Genomic DNA, 19,937 nt, shown 5'->3' on the forward strand with positions numbered 1-19,937 from the left:
TTCCCACCTCAGCCTCCCAAGTAACTGGGACTACAGGTGAGTGCCACCACACCTGGCTAATTTCTGTATTTTTAGTAGAGATGGGGTTTCACCACATTGGCCAGGCTGGTCTGGAACTCCTGACTTCAAGTGATCCACCCGCCTCAGCCTCCCAAAGTACTGGGATTACAGACATGAGCCACCGTGCCCAGCTGTGAGTGTGTGTTTGTCTGTCTTTTTTTTGTCAGATACCTGAAGGAGTCATCCTTTATTCTTAAAGTAGGGCTGAATCAGGGCAATTGTTCATCATTCTTTAATAAGGTTTTAGGGACCACAGCATGCTTTTCAAAGGATTATTTGATTCTTCCTTTATTTCATGGAAATTTTACCTTTTTTAAAAAACTTAACTTTTATTTTAAGTTCAGGGGTACATTTGCAGGTTATTATATAAGTAAACTTGGGTTGTGGGGTTTTTTTGTACAGATTATTTCATCACCCCAGTATTAAGCCTAGTATCCATTAGTTATTTTTCCTGATCCTCTACCTCCTTCCATGCCCCACGCTCCAGTAGGCCCCAGTGTTTGTTGTTCCACAGTATGTGTCCATGTGTTCTCATAAGTTAGCTCCCACTTATGAGTGATAACATGTGGTATTTAGTTTTCTGTTCTGGCATTAGTTTGCTAAGGATAATGGCCTCCAGCTCCACCCATGTTCCTGTGAAGGAAATGATCTTGTGCTTTTTTATGGTTCCATACTATTATTTCATGGAAATTTTACTTTCTAAAGAGGTTTTTTTGTAGAGATAGGGTCCTGCTATGTTGCCCAGGCTGGTCTCAAACGCCTGGCTTCAAGCAATCCTCCCTTGGCCTCCCAAGGTGCTGGGATTATAGCTGTGAGCAATCACAACTGGCTCATGAAAATTTTAGGTCTACAAATGTTTTGGTTTTCTACTTTAGAGACTCCAGATATACTTATATGGGACATTTTTGTCCTTACGTGTTATCTGTTCAATAATGATTAATATTTTAATCTGCTTTTGCATTGACTGTGATGATTGTGAATCTTTCCTTTATGTTGGTAATACCAATTGTCATTGTTCTTTTCCATGGTCTTTCTAATTAATGTATGTAATGTTATTTATTTATTTTTGATTCTCAACTTACTTCCTTAAGTTTTATATTTCTCTTTTCACTTTATTGTGTTAGCCCCTTCTCTTTTATTTTATTGAAATGATTTTCTTTTCTTTTTCTTTATAAAATGCCAACCGTGGGTAGGAAAATTTTCTTCTTTCCCTTGTGTCTTATTTCATTCATGCTGCCGCAATAATAGAGTATCTGGGACTAGGTAATTTATAATGAGCAGAAATTTATTGGCTCACAGTTCTGGAGGCTTGAAATCCAAGATCGAGGTGCTGGCATCTTTCAAGGGCCTTCTTGCCAAGTCATCACATGGTGGAAAGCAAAAGGGCAAAAAGAGGCAAGAGGGAGCTAAACTTGCCCTTCTATAATGACATTAATTCAATCCATAAGAGAGGAGCCTAGTGGCCTAATCACCTCTCAAAGGTCTTACTTCTTAATACTATTACATATTACAATGGCAATAATTTTTTTTTTTTTTTTTTTTTTTTTTTTAGAGAAGGAGTCTCACTCTGTCACCCAGGCTGGAGTGCAATGGTGCAATCTCGGCACACTGCAAGCTCCACCTCCCGGGTTCATGCCATTCTCCTGCCTCACCCTGCTAAGTAGCTGGGGCTACAGGCGCCTGCCACCATGCCCGGCTTATTTTTTGTATTTTTAGTAGAGACGGGGTTTCGCTGTATTAGCCAGGATGGTCTCTATCTCTGGACCTCATGATCCGCCCGCTTTGGCTTCCCAAAGTGCTGGGATTACAGGTGTGAAGCGAAGCCACCACGCCCAGCTGGCAGTTAAATTTTAACATGAGTTTTGGAGAGGACAAGCATTCAAATCATAGCACGTTGGTTGATGTTTTCTTGTTTTATTATGAACTAGTTTCTTTTGCATGTTTTGTGTTGTATTTGTGGTGTATTCATAGTTGTCACATCATTTCTTTGCATCTTGCTCATACTTGAAATAGGCAATTTTGTCAAAAACTTTTAGCAGAACAGAATGGTACAAGTGAATTTCCTTAATAAACTTTTTTTTTTTTTTTTTTTTTTTTTGAGAAGGAGTCTTATATCTTGCTGTTGTTGCCCAGGCTGGAGTGCAGTGGTGTGATCTTGGCTCACTGCAACCTCTGCCTCCTGGGTTCAAGCTATTCTCCTGCCTCAGCCTCCAGAGTTGCTGGGATTATAGGCACCTGCCACCAGCCCCGGCTAATTTTTGTACTTTCAGTAGCGATGGGGTTTCGCCATGTTGACCAGGCTGGTCTCAAACTCCTGACCTCAGGTGATGTGCCTGCCTCGGCCTCCCAAAGTGCTGGGATTACAGGTGTTAGCCACCATGCCCAGCCTAATAAACATTTAATTTTCAGGCCTGTTTGCCTTCTTTGAGCTGCCATTTCTTGGCAAGGCATTGCTCTTGCTACCTTTCTATATAACCCTAGGGCAATGGGATGGGAATGGAATTTGGTAAGACCTCTGTGGGACTGTATGCTCCTTTTGCTAGAGGTTCTGTCTTCTGCCTGTGGGATTTTGCTTGGTGCCAAGCATTAAGGGTTCATGCTATCTGGCCTCTCTATACGTATCCTAATTTCATGGGGATATTGCTTTTGGGCTTTTATTTGTTTCAGTATTGTAGTAAAACATAGCCAGCCTTGATTCTTGCTTCCTCTGTACAGATTCTTACGTAATAAGGCTTTTCTTCATGAAAAGTTTTTCTTACTTTTCTCTGGGCTGTCTACTCAATTCATTCTCAGATTACTTCTAAGCTGTGAGGTATCAGTGAAAAATTCTGTTTTATTAGCTCACTATCTTCCCAACACCTGTTTCATAGGTAATCTAGCCAAAATAATCATCTTTGCACCCTGCACCCCCTCCCTATTTTAAAAAATTACTACATGGAGCCAAGAGGGCTGAATAGGAACAGCTCCAGTCTACAGCTCCCAGCATGAGTGATGCAGAAGACGGGTGATTTCTGCATTTCCAACTGAGGTACCAGGTTCATCTCACTGGGGAGTGCCAGACAGTGGGTGCAGGACAGTGGGTGCAGTGCACTGTGCATGAGCCAAAGCAAGGCGAGGCATCGTGTCACCCGGGAAGCGCAAGGGGTCAGGGAATTCCCTTTCCTAGTCAAAGAAAGGGGTGACAGACGGCACCTGGAAAATCGGATCACTCCCACCCTAATACTACGCTTTTCCAATGGGCTTATCAAACGGCACACCAGGAGATTATATCCCACACCTAGATCGGAGGGTCCTATGCCCACGGAGCCTCTCTCATTGCCAGCACAGTAGTCTGAGATCAAACTGCAAGGTGGCAGCGAGGCTTTGGTGGGGGGTGCCCGCCATTGCTCAGGCTTGAGTAGGTAAACAAAGTGGCTGGGAAGCTCGAACTGGGTGGGGCCCACCACAGCTCAAGGAGGCCTTCCTGCCTCTGTAGGCTCCACCTCTGGGGGCAGGGCACAGACAAACAAAAGGCAGCAATAACCTCTGCAGACTTTGAAGAGTCTGTCTGATAGCTTTGAAGAGAGTAGTGGTTCTTCCAGCACGCAGCTTGAGATCTGAGAACGGGCAGACTGCCTCCTCAAGTGGGTCCCTGACCCCCGAGTAGCCTAACTGGGAGGCATCCCCCAGTAGGGGCGGACTGACACCTCACACGGCCGGGAACTCCTCTGAGACAAAACTTCTAGAGGAACGATCAGGCAGCAGCATTTGCGGTTCACCAATATCTGCTGTTCTGCAGCCACCACTGCTGATACCCAGGCAAACAGGGTCTGGAGTGGGCCTCCAGTAAACTCCAACAGACCTGCAGCTCAGGGTCCTGACTGTTAGAAGGAAAACTAACAAACAGAAAGGACATCCACACCAAAAACCCATCTGTATGTCACCATCATCAAAGACCAAAGGTAGATAAAACCACAAAGATGGGGAAAAACCAGAGCAGAAAAACCGGAAACTCTAAAAATCAGAGCGCCTCTCCTCCTCCAAAGGAACGCAGCTCCTCACCAGCAACAGAACAAAGCTGGATGGAGAATGACTTGACGAATTGAGAGAGGAAGGCTTCAGAAGATCAAACTAGTCCGAGCTAAAGGAGGAAGTTTGAACCAATGGCAAAGAAGTTAAAAACTTTGAAAAAAAATTAGACGAATGGATAACTAGAATAATCAATGCAGAGAAGTCCTTAAAGGACCTGATGGAGCTGAAAACAATGGCACGAGAACTACGTGATGAATGCACAAGCCTCAGTAACCGATGCGATCAACTGGAAGAAAGGGTATCAGTGATGGAAGATGAAATGAGTGAAATGAAGTGTGAAGAGAAGTTTAGAGAAAAAAGAAAAGAAATGAGCAAAGCCTCCGAGAAATATGGGACTATGTGAAAAGACCAAATCTACATCTAATTGGTGTACCTGAAAGTGACGGGGAGAATGGAATCAAGTTGGAAAACACTCTGCAGGATATCATCCAGGAGAACTTCCCCAATCTAGCAAGGCAGGTCACTATTCAAATTCAGGAATTACAGAGAACACCACAAAGATACTCCTCAAGAAGAGCAACTCCAAGACACGTAATTGTCAGATTCACCAAAGTTGAAATGAAGGAAAAAATGTTCAGGGCAGCCAGAGAGAAAGGTTGGGTTACCCACAAAGGGAAGCCTATCAGACTAACTGCTGATGTCTCAGCAGAAACTCTACGAGCCAGCAGAGAGTGGGGGCCAATATTCAACATTCTTAAAGAAAAGAATTTTCAACCCAGAATTTCATATCCAGCCAAACTAGGCTTCATAAGTGAAGGAGAAATAAAATACTTCACAGACAAGCAAATGCTGAGAGATTTTGTCACCACCATGCCTGCTCTACAAGAGCTCCTGAAGGAAGCACTAACCATGGAAAGGAACAACCGGTACCAGCCACTGGAAAAACATGCCAAATTGTAAAGACCATCAAGGCTAGGAAGAAACTGCATCAACTAATAAGCAAAATAACCAGCTAACATCATAATGACAGGATGAAATTCACACATAACAATCCTAACCTTAAATGTAAATGGGCTAAATGCTCCAATTAAAAGGCACAGACTGGCAAGTTGGATAAAGAGTCAAGACCCATCAGTATGCTGTATCAGGAAACCCATCTCACATGCAGAGACACACATAGGCTCAAAATAAAGGGATGGAGGAAGATCTACCAAGCAAATGGAAAACAAAAAAAGGCAGGGGTTGCAATCCTAGTCTTTGATAAAACAGACTTTAAACCAACAAAGATCAAAAGAGACAAAGAAGGCCATTGCATAATGGTAAAGGGATCAGTTCAACAAGAAGAACTAACTATCCTAAATATATATGTACCCAATACAGGAGCACCCAGATTCATAAAGCAAGTCCTTAGTGACCTACAAAATGACTTAGACCCCCACACAGTAATCATGGGAGACTTTAACACCCCACTGTCAACATTAGACAGATCAACGAGACAGAAAGTTAACAAGGATATCCAGGAATTGAACTCAGCTCTGCACCAAGCAGACCTAATAGACATCTACAGAACTCTCCACCCCAAATCAACAGAATATACATTCTTCTCAGCACCACACCACACCTATTCCAAAATAGACCACATAGTTGGAAGTAAAGCACTCCTCAGCAAATGTAAAAGAACAGAAATTATAACAAACTATCTCTCAGACCACAGTGCAATCAAACTAGAACTCAGGATTAAGAAACTCACTCAAAACTGCTCAGCTACGTGGAAACTGAACAACCTGCTCCTGAATGACTACTAGGTACATAACAAAATGAAGGCAGAAATAAAGATGTTCTTTGAAACCAACGAGAACAAAGAAACAACATACCAGAATCTCTGGGACACATTCAAAGCAGTGTGTAGAGGGAAATTTATAGCACTAAATGCCCACAAGAGAAAGCAGGAAAGATCTAAAATTGACACCCTAACATCACAATTAAAAGAACTAGAGAAGCAAGAGCAAACACATTCAAAAGCTAGCATAAGGCAAGAAATAACTAAGATCAGAGCAGAACTGAAGGAAATAGAGACACAAAAAACCATTCAAAAAATCAATGAATCCAGAAGCTGGTTTTTTGAAAAGATCAACAAAATTGATAGACCATTAGCAAGACTAATAAAGAAGAAAAGAGAGAAGAATCAAATAGACACAATAAAAAATGGCAAAGGGGATATCACCACTGATCCCACAGAAATACAAACTACCATCAGAAAATACTATAAACACCTCTACACAAATAAACTAGAAAATCTAGAAGAAATGGATAAATTCCTGGACACATACACCCTCCCAAGACTAAACCAGGTAGAATTTGAATCTCTGAATAGACCAATAACAGGCTCTGAAATTGAGGCAATAATTAATAGCTTACCAACCAAAAAAAGTCCAGGACCAGATGGATTCACAGCCGAATTCTACCAGAGGTACAAGGAGGAACTGGTACCATTCCTTCTGAAACTATTCCAATCAATAGAAAAAGAGGGAATCCTCCCTAACTCGTTTTATGAGGCCAGCATCATTCTGATACCAAAGCCTGGCAGAGACACAACAAAAAAAGAGAATTTTAGACCAATATCCTTGATGAACATTGATGCAAAAATCCTCAATAAAATACTGGCAAACTGAATCCAGCAGCACATCAAAGAACTTATCCACCATGATCAAGTGGGCTTCATCCCTGGGATGCAAGGCTGGTTCAACATACGCAAATCAATAAACATAATCCAGCATATAAACAGAACCAAAGATAAAAACCACATGATTATCTCAATAGATGCAGAAAAGGCCTTTGACAAAATTCAACAACCTTCATGCTAAAAACTCTCAATAAATTAGGTATTGATGGGATGTATCTCAAAATAATAAGAGCTATGTATGACAAACCCACAGCCAGTATCATACTGAATGAACAAAAACTGGAAGCATTCCCTTTGAAAACTGGCACAAGACAGGGATGCGCTCTCTCACCACTCCTATTCAACATAGTGTTGGAAGTTCTGGCCAGGGCAATCAGGCAGGAGAAGGAAATAAAGGGCATTGAATTAGGAAAAGAGGAAGTCAAATTGTCCCTGTTTGCAGATGACATGATTGTGTATCTAGAAAACCCCATCGTCTCAGCCCAAAATCTCCTTAAGCTGATAAGCAACTTCAGCAAAGTCTCAGGATACAAAATCAGTGTTCAAAAATCACAAGCATTCTTATACACCAATAACAGACAAACAGAGAGCCAAATCATGAGTGAACTCCCATTCACAATTGCTTCAAAGAGAATAAAATACCTAGGAATCCAACTTACAAGGGATGTGAAGGACTTCTTCAAGGAGAACTACAAACCACTGCTCAAGGAAATAAAAGAGGATACAAACAAATGGAAGAACATTCCATGCTCATGGGTAGGAAGAATCAATATCATGAAAATGGCCATACTGCCCAAGGTAATTTATAGATTTAATGCCATCCCCATCAAGCTACCAATGACTTTCTTCACAGAACTGGAAAAAACTAAAGTTCATGTGGAAGCAAAAAAGAGCCCGCATCGCCAAGTCAATCCTAAGCCAAAAGAACAAAGCTGGAGGCATCATGCTACCTGACTTCAAACTATACTACAAGGCTACAGTAACCAAAACAGCATGGTGCTGGTACCAAAACAGAGATATAGACCAATGGAACAAAATAGAGCCCTCAGAAATAATGCCGCATATCTACAACTATCTGATCTTTGACAAACCTGAGAAAAACAAGCAATGGGGAAAGGATTCCCTATTTAATAAATGGTGCTGGGAAAACTGGTTAGCCATATGTGGAAAGCTGAAACTGGATCCCTTCCTTACACCTTATACAAAAATTAATTCAAGATGGATTAAAGACTTACATGTTAGACCTAAAACCATAAAAACCCTACAAGAAAACCTAGGCAATACCATTCAGGACATTGGCCTGGGCAAGGACTTCATGTTTAAAACACCAAAAGCAATGGCAACAAAAGCCAAAATTGACAAATGGGATCTAATTAAATGAAAGAGCTTCTGCATGGCAAAAGAAACCACCATCAGAGTGAACAGGCAACCTACAGAATGGGAGACAATTTTTGCAACCTACTCATCTGACAAAGGGCTAATATCCAGAATCTACAATGAACTCAAACAAATTTACAAGAAAAAAACAACCCCATCAAAAAGTGGGCGAAGGATCCGAACAGACACTTCTCAAAAGAAGACATTTATGCAGCCAAAAAACACATGAAAAAATGCTCATCATCACTGGCCATCAGATAAATGCAAATCAAAACCACAATGAGATACCATCTCACACCAGTTAGAATGGCAATCATTAAAAAGTCAGGAAACAACAGGTGCTGGAGAGGATGTTGAGAAATAGGAACACTTTTACACTGTTGGTGGGACTGTAAACTAGTTCAACCATTGTGGAAGACAGTGTGGCGATTCCTCAGGGATCTAGAACTAGAAATACCATTTGACCCAGCCATCCCATTACTGGGTATATACCCAAAGGACTATAAATCATGCTGCTATAAAGACACATGCACACGTATGTTTATTGTGGCACTATTCACAATAGCAAAGACTTGGAACCAACCCAAATGTCCAACAATGATAGACTGGTTAAGAAAATGTGGCACATATACAGCATGGAATACTCTGCAGCCATAAAAAATGATGAGTTCATGTCCTTTGTAGGGACATGGATGAAGCTGGAAACCATCATTCTCAGCAAACTATTGCAAGGACAAAAAACCAAACACCTCATGTTCTCACTCATAGGTGAGAATTGAACAATGAGAACACAGGAAGGGGAACATCACACACAGGGGACTGTTGTAGGGTAGGGAGAGGGGGGCGGGATAGCATTAGGAGATATACCTAATGCTAAATGACGAGTTAATGGGTGCAGCACACCAACATGGCACATGTATACATATGTAACAAACCTGCACGTTGTGCACATGTACCCTAAAACTTAAAGTATAATAATAAAAAAAAATTAAAAAAATAAAAATTACTCTACAACATCCTACTTTCTTTACCATTTGGTTAAGTTGCATATTCTGTTCATGAGTCTATATGATGGGATAAGTAGATTTTGGTGTTCGGATTTCACTGTGCCATCTTTACTTGGAATTCCAATTTTTTAGATATTTTTTAAAAAGTGTAGAATAGTTTTATATTTCTAGAACAGTTGTGAAGATCATACAGATAGTTGCTGCATAATCCTCACGACTTTCTCTTATTGTTAACATCTTAAATTACCATGATACTTTTGTCACGGGGAGAATTCAGTATTGTTACATAACTATTAACTAAACTGTATACTTTCTTTGGATTTCACTAATTTTTCTCAAATATCCTTTTATGCTCTAGGATCCTATGCAGGATTGGATTTAGTTTGTATGTCTCCCTAGCCTGTCCTGGGCTGTGACATTTTCTCTAACTTTTCTTGTGTTTTAAGACCTTGATAGTTTTGAGGCATATTGATCAAGGTATTTTACACAGAATGTTTCTCAATTTGGGTTTGCCTCATGGTTATGTTGGGTTTATGAGATTTTAGGATGAAGACTGTAGAAGTGAGTGCCATTTTCCTTATGTCATTTGAAGGTTATATTTTCCTAATAGGATTTACTATCAGTAATATTAACCTTGATCATCTGGCCAAGATATGGTTTGCTAAGTTTCTCCACTGTAAAGTTACTTACCTCCATTCCTTTGTTCATACTCTACTCTTTGGAAGTAAATCACTAAGTACAGTCCATACTAAAGAATGAAGATGGGAGGTTGTTGAGCCCCACCTCCTGAGGGGAGAATACTTACATACATTATATGTAATACTTTAATACAGGAGATTTGTCTCTTTTCCCATTTATTCATTTATTCAGCCATTTGTGTCAGTATGGATTCATAGATGTTCATTTAATACTTTGGATTATAATCTAATACTATGTTATTTGTGTTGTTGCTTGAAATGTTCTACCTTTGTGGATTGGAAGCTCTTTCAGGTTAGCTCCTATATTTCTTTGATATGTCCCCATTCCTTTCTGTTATTTATTTGTTTTTGTTTTGAGACGGGGTCTTGCTCTATTGTCCTGGCTGGAGTGCAGTGGTATGATTACAGCTCACTGCAGCCTTGACCTCTTGGGCTCAAGCAGTCCTCCCACCTCAGCCTCCCCAGTAACTGGGACTGCAGGTACTCACTTGGCTAATGCCTGGCTAATTTTTAGAAATTTTTTTTAGAAATAGAGTCTCACTATATTGCCTAGGCTAGTCTCAAGCTCCTGGGCTCAAATGATACTCCTGCCTCAGCCTTCCAAAGTTCTGGAATTACAGGCATGAGCCACTACACCTGGTCTCTTCTGATTTTTGAACATTTTCTGTTTGGCATGGCAGAATGCTCCAGGGTCACCTTATGTAAGGATGTATAGAGCTGTGCCCCTCCAGTAGATTCAGTCATTCCTCCAAGGAACTCTAGATCCTTTTATTGGAAAATAGTATTAGAAACCAAGATCTGGGTATGGGGTGTGCCCTTTGTTGGGGGAGTATGACTACTTCTAGACCCTTTCTGCAGACAGAGTAGGAAATACACACACATATATATATATATAGTAGTATCTTATACTATATATATGTGTGTGTATATGTATATGTGTGTGTGTATATATATATACACACTAACTGATGTATACACATATCTATATATATACTATATACACTAACTGATGTATACATACACATATCTCTTATTTATGCATCTATCCGTTTGTATCTATATCAAGCTAAACATGAGTTCACACTGATGTTCTTAATTCTAATCCATTACCACACTGTTTATTCTAGCCTTCCCCTTTTGTTCATCTGTAAATTACTCTACCCAATGGTGACAAAACTGGCCCCCACCAACCACCATCTATTTACTTATTTGTTGAAACCCAGTATACATTGTAACTCTTTCTGAATCATTAACCTGTACCTCCATGAGAAATAACTTTAGCAATGAGAATATATTATGTATAGTTGTTTTAGTGTTTAGGCTTATAGTTTCAAGACACCATTTTCCAAAATTACTTAAATTGGCTCCTTCCTCTGCCCCACCTCTTTAAGTTAGTTTAGGCCATATTTTTTAATGTAATTAGAGTTATTTATCGTAGTCTGCATTCTATCCTAGTGTCCTTTGATCTCCTAGTTGGTTTCTTTGGGTGCATACATTGATTCACTATGTGCTGTAAATATCTGTGGGTTTTGACAAATGGGTAGTATCATGTATCCACATTAGTTCTGCCACTTTAAAATCCCTACTGCTTCTTCTACTCAAATCTTCCTCCCTCCCCAACTCTGTGGCAACTACTGACCTGCTTTCTTCCCTTAATAGTCTTTCCTTTTTTAGAATGTCGTATGAATGGAATCATACAATATGTAGCCTTTTCAAATTGGCTTCTTTCATTTAGCAGAATGCATTCATGTTAATGCATTAATTTATGTAATGTTCTTTTTTTCTTGTTGAATAGTATTCCATTGTATATCACAGTTTTTGATTCATTCCTTTGTATAAAGGATATCTTGGTTACTTCTATGTTTGGTGATTTTGAGTAAAGTTGTTCTAAGTATTCACATACAGGTTTTTGTCTGGACATATATTTTCAAATCAGTTGAGTAAACCCAGTAGCAATACTGCTGAATCATAAGTTAAATCTATGTTAATTTTATAAGAAACTGCCAAATTCTTTTCCAGAGTGGCTATACTAGCAATGAATCAGAGTTCCTGTTGCTGTATATCCAAGGAATATACAAGCATTTGGAACTGTTGTTTTTTTTTTTTTTTTTTTTCTTGTTTTGGATGTTAGACATTCTAACAGGTGTGTAGTAGTATCTTAGTATTTTTATTTGCATTTCCCTGATGACAAATCATATTGAGCATCTTTTTATATGTTTATTTTTCATCTGCATATCTTCTTTGGTAAAGTGTTCAGGTATTTGATGGTTTTTCAAATTGGATTATTTTTTCCTTGTTGTTTAAAAGAGTTGTTTATATTCTGGATATAAGTCGTTTATCAGATATGTGGCTTGCACATATTTTCTTCTAGTTGATGTCTTGTTTTTTTGAGTCTCTTAGTGTGTTTGGCAGAACACAAGTTTTAAATTTTGATAACACTTAAATTTTGATAACATTAAAAAATCTTTTTTTTTTTTTTTGCTTATGGACATTCTTATATTCTACCACCATTTGTTGGAAAGGCTGTCATTTCTACATTAAATTTCCTTTGCACCTATGTCAAAAATAAGTTGACTATATATCTGTGGGTTAATTTCTGAATTTACTATTCTGTTTCATTAACCTATATGTTAATCCCTTTGTCAATATCACATAATCTTGATAGTGAGTCTTGAAATCAGGTGTAGTCTTCCAACTTTGCCCTTTTATTACAGAATTGTTTTGGCTATTCTAGATAACCTTTTTACAAAATTTCAGTAATATAGTCATTAAAACTTTAGAACTCTTCTTTGGAGATTTGCGGGTACTATAATGTTCAATTTATCAGGCACCAAACAGTGGTATATTATATTTACATGCAATTTATGTTCATAAATTTTATTACGTAAATCAGTCACCAATTTTATTCATGAGATTTGCTTCTAAAAAGATTTTTATGCTTTAAAAAAATCAAATTGACCTCCAAAAGACAACAAATCAATTTTTCATAAAATGTCACAACTCTTTTGAAGTAGGTATATTCATGTTTTATAGATGAAAGAAGCTTAGAGGGCTAGACTACTTGGCCAAAGACTCAAAGTCAGTCAATTACACATTGTCAGAATGTCTACCTCAGATTTACACAGGCAACTCAAACTTAGCATATCCAAAATGAAACTTATTAATTCATTCTTAAAACCTGATCCTCCTCCTTAATCCCTTATTCTGATCAGTGTTACAACCATCTGCCTACATATCCAAGCCAAAACTTCTTCCTCAGAACTTCGATTAAACTGATCTTTTATTTGGTTTATTCTATCTCTTTAACTAAAATATTTAAATTGAGCCTATCATTCTTCCCTATTTTTTACCCTTCATTGCTTATCTACTTTAATTTATACATTTATTTGTTACAGTTTTTATTAAAGTATATTGAAATTAGTGTTCCTTGAGACAGAATCTTTTTCATTTTGTCTTTTAGAGTATTAGTATTAAGGGAAGAATGGGAATGGGAGAAAAGGAATGCATTCAATTCTCAGGCTTTTCTTTTTAATTCATTCAGTAAATATTTATTGACTATACTGTGTCAGGTACAGTGCTAGTTGCTGGGGACACAGCATTATGGTCAAATTGACTTAAGTAAATAAGTAAGTAATCATATAAATGCTTAAAACAATTAACAGTTAATCTGAAGAATTTTTGGTTCCTAGAAACAGCTTACAAGAAGGACTCCTTCTGTATCAGAGTCTAGGAGTTCAGGTAGGGGGAAGAGTCAGGGAAGGCCACACATACCAAGCAAGAAAAGCAACAGCAACAAAGAATATTATGTCAGCATAGTATCAGATGGTTCTATGAGGTTCTTTTCTGCTGAATCTATAGGTTCTGAACTGTCAAGAGTGTGTTTTAGAGTACATCTTGATAACAGGACCAATGCATAACTGTTTTTGCTTGACTGAAAGGTATATTTGGGGGCATCGAGTATACGATAAAATTATATAAATTGTTCACATCTTTTAAAAAAATTCCTAATTTTTGCTTCCTATAATCTTCAGATCCTTTGTTGTCTTTTTTCTCTCATCTGCTTTGCTACTTCTGATCTACATTGTATCTCTGTTACAGTGTCTGCTTTGTCTTATTCTGCCTCTCTCTGCTTTTCTTTACCCCTTGGCTTTAATGCTTTTTCTCTTTTTTGGCTTTTATCAAAAACTAGGGAAAAAAATAAAAAAGGATTCAAGTTAAAATTACCTACATATACATACTCTTATATACGTTTGCATTTGTATACTTCAGCTTTTCAGATCATGATACCTTTTTTTCAGTCTCTTTGCTATTGTTGGTACTTTTTTAACATGTTAAGTGTGGTGGTGTGTAGAAAATGAGAGAGAATAAAAGCAAACAAATCAGAATTTTCTGATTAGAATAAAAGCCAACAAATAAGAATTTTCAGAAAAATGTGAAATTTGTTTATCATTGGAGGTCAACGTTTGGCATCTTAGGATTGAACAAGGTGAACGACTGTAGTTTCAGAAAAGAAAAGGGTGATATTGACTGATTTAGGGATAAATCAAGAAATGCGACATTTCACGCATGGATCTTTTCACTTAGAGTGCAAGGATGTCAGTCAGAATTTGCATGGTATAGGAAATCAATTGAAACTTGAGCCCATAGACATTTACTTCAGCAAAATTCTTACTAATTATCATGACTATGTCAAGTTAGACTGTTGTAGGCATAATTTAAAGTTTACAAAAGGTTGAAATTCTTTTGTCTAATTGTGAACCCCATATTAATGAGATATAATTTATAGTTCATCAGATATATTTCATATAACACCAACTATTATTTTAAGTCTTTATTTAAATCAGTAAAGTATTATGTGTTGTACATACCACTAGTAAACCTTAGTACCTTCCCCAAAGTCATTTTAAATAGAAAATTAAAGCCATGTATAGCTGTTTCAAATCACCTCTTTTCTGAAAAGGCAAGTTGTCTAAGTTTTGTGTTGTTTTAAGTGACACAGTATGTGATATACTTACTGTAGACCTGAATTTCATTTTCTGAAAATTATTTTTGTTGATTCCTAATCTTTAACTAGATATTGAATGATCTAGCTTAGAAAATTATGGCAAATATTCCAAATTGGCACTTAACAGTGCATTAACATCAAAGATCTAGTCTCATTTTCCAACACTCTGTATCAAGGATTTGCAAAGTAAGAACTTATGTTGAAATTCAGCCTGCTACCTGTTTTGTAAATAAAGTTTTATTGGGATACAACTACACTTGATCACTTATTGTGTATGGCTGCTTTTGTACTATGGAGGCAGAATTTAGTAGCTATGATAAGAGAGCCTATGGTAAAGCCTAAAATAATTACTATTTGGCCATTTGCAGAAAAACTTGGCTGATCCCTACTCTATATAATCTACTTGAGACTAAATTATGACATAATCTATCTTTAATATCTGTGATATCCGTGATATTTCCTGAAACTTTTAAAAAAATACAAGTAGAGAAATACAAGTATCAACTTTTTCTCTTTCCAGACTCATGTTTGTATTGAAAGTTACTTGCATCTATGCAGATTTTCAAATCTTGAAGTAATCATTTTTTTATTTTAACCAGTTATATATTTTTTTCCTGGCCATTTATCACTATAATTATATCAGTTATAAAGAATAATAACAAAACAAGATTGAGATCCAAATGCTAAGTGGCTGACTTAGCTCACTTACGTCCTGTGTGTCAGACCTAGCACAGCAGCCTTACCAAAAACATACTTGAAATTCACTTATCGGCAAAATGACAAGTCAGTATATATTATGTGCTTTTAGCAGCAATCACACAAATTATTTAAAGTCTGAATACTAAATTCATGTGCCAGGGATCTGGAATAGCCCTTGATAAGAACTTTTGATTCTGATTTTTTAAAAATGTTTAAATTATTAGTAGGGAATTTTAATATTAGACTAAATACAATTATCTTAAACCTTTCCTATTGAAAGCTGTTAATTTAAAACGTTTGAACTCTTCATCTTCCTCTCCTTAAAGTAATGCTTTACATTGCAATGCCTGAAGACAGCCTTAAATATTACATAGAAATTCCATACACATTTTTTGTGTGTGTTGATTATTTGGAATATACAGACTAGGTAACCTACTGTTATTTCCTTCCTGGTCATATAAAATTCTTTGAAACTAAAAATAGAGATTTATAACCTTGGTAACTAAATGTCTTTTGTTGTTGCAAAGGTTCCAGAGGAATCTAACAGTCCAAATATTTAATTGTCCTGTATCTGTTCACATTTTAAATCATCAAGGTTAACAAGGTAATTGTGAAGTTTATAAGCATTTTAATTGGATTTTATTGGGTAGCAGCCATAATTAGATCTTACTTTGATTTTAGCTAAAAAGAATGGCAATAAAAGATAACATAAGATAAATATTTCTCACCACATATAACTTCCTTAGAAATCGTATTTAGCCAACCAATTACTGCTGGTTAAATGCCACTCATTTTCTTCAAATATTTTCACTATGATAATAAATAAATGTAAGAATTTTATTATCTTATACTTTTCTGTTAGGTTTTTCAATTGAGATGAAAAGAAGTGTTTATCTTCACAATTCTTGTAGAGCAAACTTTTGTTAGGCAGCATCTTTGAAAATTGTTCATTTATTTTGAAGAAAAAAAGATAAGAGATGAAAGTAGTTACCCTTCTTGAAACGTAAACCTAAGTGGATGTTAGTTGTTTGAGATACACTGAATTATATATAACTTAAAATTACTGTACCTTCCTGTTAACTGATACTATTTATGTCTAGAAATAGCTCTTTAATATATGTGTATATATTTTTTCTGTTAAAATACTAAGTTCTAAAAGTACTACTTTTCCATGAGTGTAGTAATTTTATCCAGTTGTGAAGTTTGGAACCATTTTGTGGCATATTTATTAGGTGTCTTCTATTATCTTTGGCTAGTATCCTATTTTATGGTAAATGTCAAATCACAGGAGCACAGAAACGGGGAAAACTTGAGAAAACAGAAACTTGGATATCTAAACTTTTTAGTATAATTTTAAAATAATTGAGATCCTTTCTAGAATCTATACCTTTTCACTAACATATATCACAAATTTTCTTTTAATTACTTTGAATGGTTGCCTAAATTATATTATAGACATTTTGTAGGTAATTTAAAACTACTTTCTTTACCTTTACTGCATTTCTTTAATTTCTCAACATCAGCAAACATTTCAGTAGCCACTACGACTCTTAAAAGACAAAATGCATTTCTGAGGGGAGCCAGTTTTTATTTTTTGTCTTTATGTCGAATAATTCTACATATATTATGAAGAAGAAAATAACAGTCATCTAAAAATTGTGGTCAGCCTTCCTATGCATTTGTTTCATAATAACAAATAGGTAACAGCAAGAGATTTTTACTTCAAATTTAGTGTAATTATTTGTCATTGCTTTTAAGGGAACATAGTTAAACTTTGTAATAAAAATACTAGCCTTGTTTTACTTATGATGGTGTCCAAAAAAAGAGAGGAAATACAGTTTCTGATAAAAATGGAAAGTCCAGGAATAAATATAATGATGAGAATGAGTGCTTTTATCACTGGGGAACTTTCTTCATCTAAGCACATATGAACAATTGATCCTTGTAGTCATATATAGCAGTAAACATTAATAACTTAACAGTCTGAAGTCAGTGCAGAAGATATGGAGCATTATTGAAAGATGGAGTCGAGCAGGTGGCACTTTAATATGTTCAGTGTCATGGTTGACTCTAAAGACTAGTCGAATGAAATTACTTGAGGTTCTAAAGATTTAAAAAGCGAACTCATTTTGCTGCACTAAGGAAATGCTACTGATCAGGCTTTCTGTGTCCCTTTTTTCTAGGCTAGAAAATATTAACCCTGAAGAAAATGACATGGTAAGCCATTCTCTGAGGAGATTTCTTGATGTCAGTCTTATATCTTAGAGGCTTAAGTTCAATTGAGTGGGTTTCAAGAACTAAGATGTGGGAAAAAGAAGAATTGACACACTAATAATGTACATCTTTGCTGCAATATGAAAATTCAATAACTTCACTCAGTCAATTTACAATTCACATGTGCCTATTAATTAAAACCCTATATTAAATAAAATATATTAAAACTTCATGTCTGACTAACATATAATGGTGTTGGTAGACATTACAGGAATTACTGAACAGAATAAACAATGCAGACACAGGGATAGCTATTCAGAAGAATGGAGCTATAATTGTGGATAGAATCTACAAGACCAAGGAATGTAAAATGAGAATAACTGCAGAAGAAATGAGTGCACTAATAGAAGAACGGGATGCTGCCTTGTCTAAGGTAACTCTGCATATATCTGTAAAAGCATATACTTACCATTTTCCTCTCTATTTTTTTAACCATTAAAAACTGACTTTGGCCCAGATATTCTTAATTCACATTAATTTTTAGCACATAATTAATACCACAGTGATTAGCTATATTAAAATAATTATGTATTTTATTATACTACTGTTCAAAATATGAAACCTCATTTTAAATAAAATTTAATGCAGTCTCATTTCTTAATAAAATTAAACTTGTTTTATTACAGACTAACTTGTTATAGAAATTGTTATATTTTTTCAACTAATCACTTTTATATGGGACTTCTTACTTAAATTACAGTTTTCTGAAGGCTGAGACTATGTCTATATTACTGTTTTATTCCCAGTGCCTAATTCAGTACCTTTTAGTAAACCTTGATTAATGGATCAAAATTATTCATGTATTTTTTTCTGAATGCTACTTACACCTTCCTGCTCTACCTGAAACCTGATTACCTCCCTCAGGCCACTGCTTCCAGTGCAGTCCTTTCAACTAGTGGCTGTGCTCTCTCTCATACCAGTTATACCACTGGGCTTGGAGGCTTGTTTCTTGTTATTTTATTTATTTATTTATTTATTTATTTATTTATTTATTTAGTGTGTGTGGAGATTTGGTATCACCTTGTTTCCCAGGCTGCTCTTGAACTCTTGGCCTCAAGTGATCCTCCTCCCTCGACCTCCCAAAGTGTTGGGGATTACAGGCATGAGCCACCACACCTGGCCTTGTTAGTGTTTTCAGATCAATGTCTTTTTCACTCCCTAAATACCTCCAGCTCTGAAACTCATGCATCAGACTGTACCACCCAGTGCACACTATTGTTGTAGTCGTGTACACACTTCTATGTCACTTCTCTTGTTTTGTTAAAATTTTTGGGCCTATTCCAATGTCTCTTTCTTCAGCCTACTCCTGTCATAATTCTTGGTGATGTAAATTCCTATGTAGATAATCCTTTCAAAAATTGCAGCCTCTTATTTCCTAAATTTCTCTACTTTAGTCATTGTGTGCTGCACACTGTATCTGCTATCTGCTCTGTGGTCATACTCTGTTCCTGGTCATTCTGAGTCTCAATGTCAAGCTTCCCGCTTTCTGACTACCAGCTGCTATCTTTCTAGCTCATTCATGCTAGAACTCTGACTCCAGCATTTTTTTTTTTTTTTTTAGACAGAGTCTTGGTCTGTCACCCAGGCTGGAGTGCAGTAGTGTGATCTTGGCTCACTGCAGTCTGTGCCTCCCAGGTTCAAGTGATTCTTCTGTCTCAGCCTCCTGAGTAGCTGGGACTACAGGTGTGCGCCACCAAGCCCAGCTAATTTTTTGGTATTTCTTGTAGAGATAGGGTTTTGCCATGTTGGCCAGGCTGGTCTTGAACTGCTGACCTCAAGTGATCCACCCACCTCGCCCTCCGAAAATGCTGGAATTACAGATGTGAGCCACCACGCCTGGCCTCAGCTTATTTCTATCAATCTTACTAACTCTTTTCTGTCTCTCAAACCCCTTATGTCCTTACTCCCCCACCCCAACACACACACATCTGGCTTAAATTCCATAGCCCATTATAATTATCGCCAACTTGCACATAATATACCCTCATTTCTCTTTGCCCTCTTCCTTTGTCCTACTCACCCAGCAAAATCAAAATCTATTTAAATGAATCTCTCTGTTTTGTATCTTCACAGCTTTGTAAGGCAGGAGAAAAATCACACAAATTTACTGACTGTACTTACCT

The 19,937-nt window shown here is 36.9% G+C and overlaps 1 protein-coding gene across 13 annotated transcripts in view; it reads left to right on the top strand.

Annotated features, from left to right (window-relative positions):
* The window catches only part of MIPOL1 (mirror-image polydactyly 1), a 354,425-nt gene that overhangs the window by 92,396 nt on the left and 242,092 nt on the right, over positions 1–19,937 (top strand). For all 13 annotated transcript variants that reach the window (NM_001195296.2, NM_001195297.2, NM_138731.7 and 10 more), the window contains 2 exons: positions 17,724–17,757; positions 18,017–18,187. In NM_001195296.2, the coding sequence (NP_001182225.1) occupies positions 17,724–17,757; positions 18,017–18,187 (205 nt within the window). The remainder of the gene's footprint in view (positions 1–17,723; positions 17,758–18,016; positions 18,188–19,937) is intronic.

The sequence above is a fragment of the Homo sapiens genome, chromosome 14 (assembly GCF_000001405.40).
Source record: "Homo sapiens chromosome 14, GRCh38.p14 Primary Assembly".
NCBI lineage: Eukaryota > Metazoa > Chordata > Mammalia > Primates > Hominidae > Homo > Homo sapiens.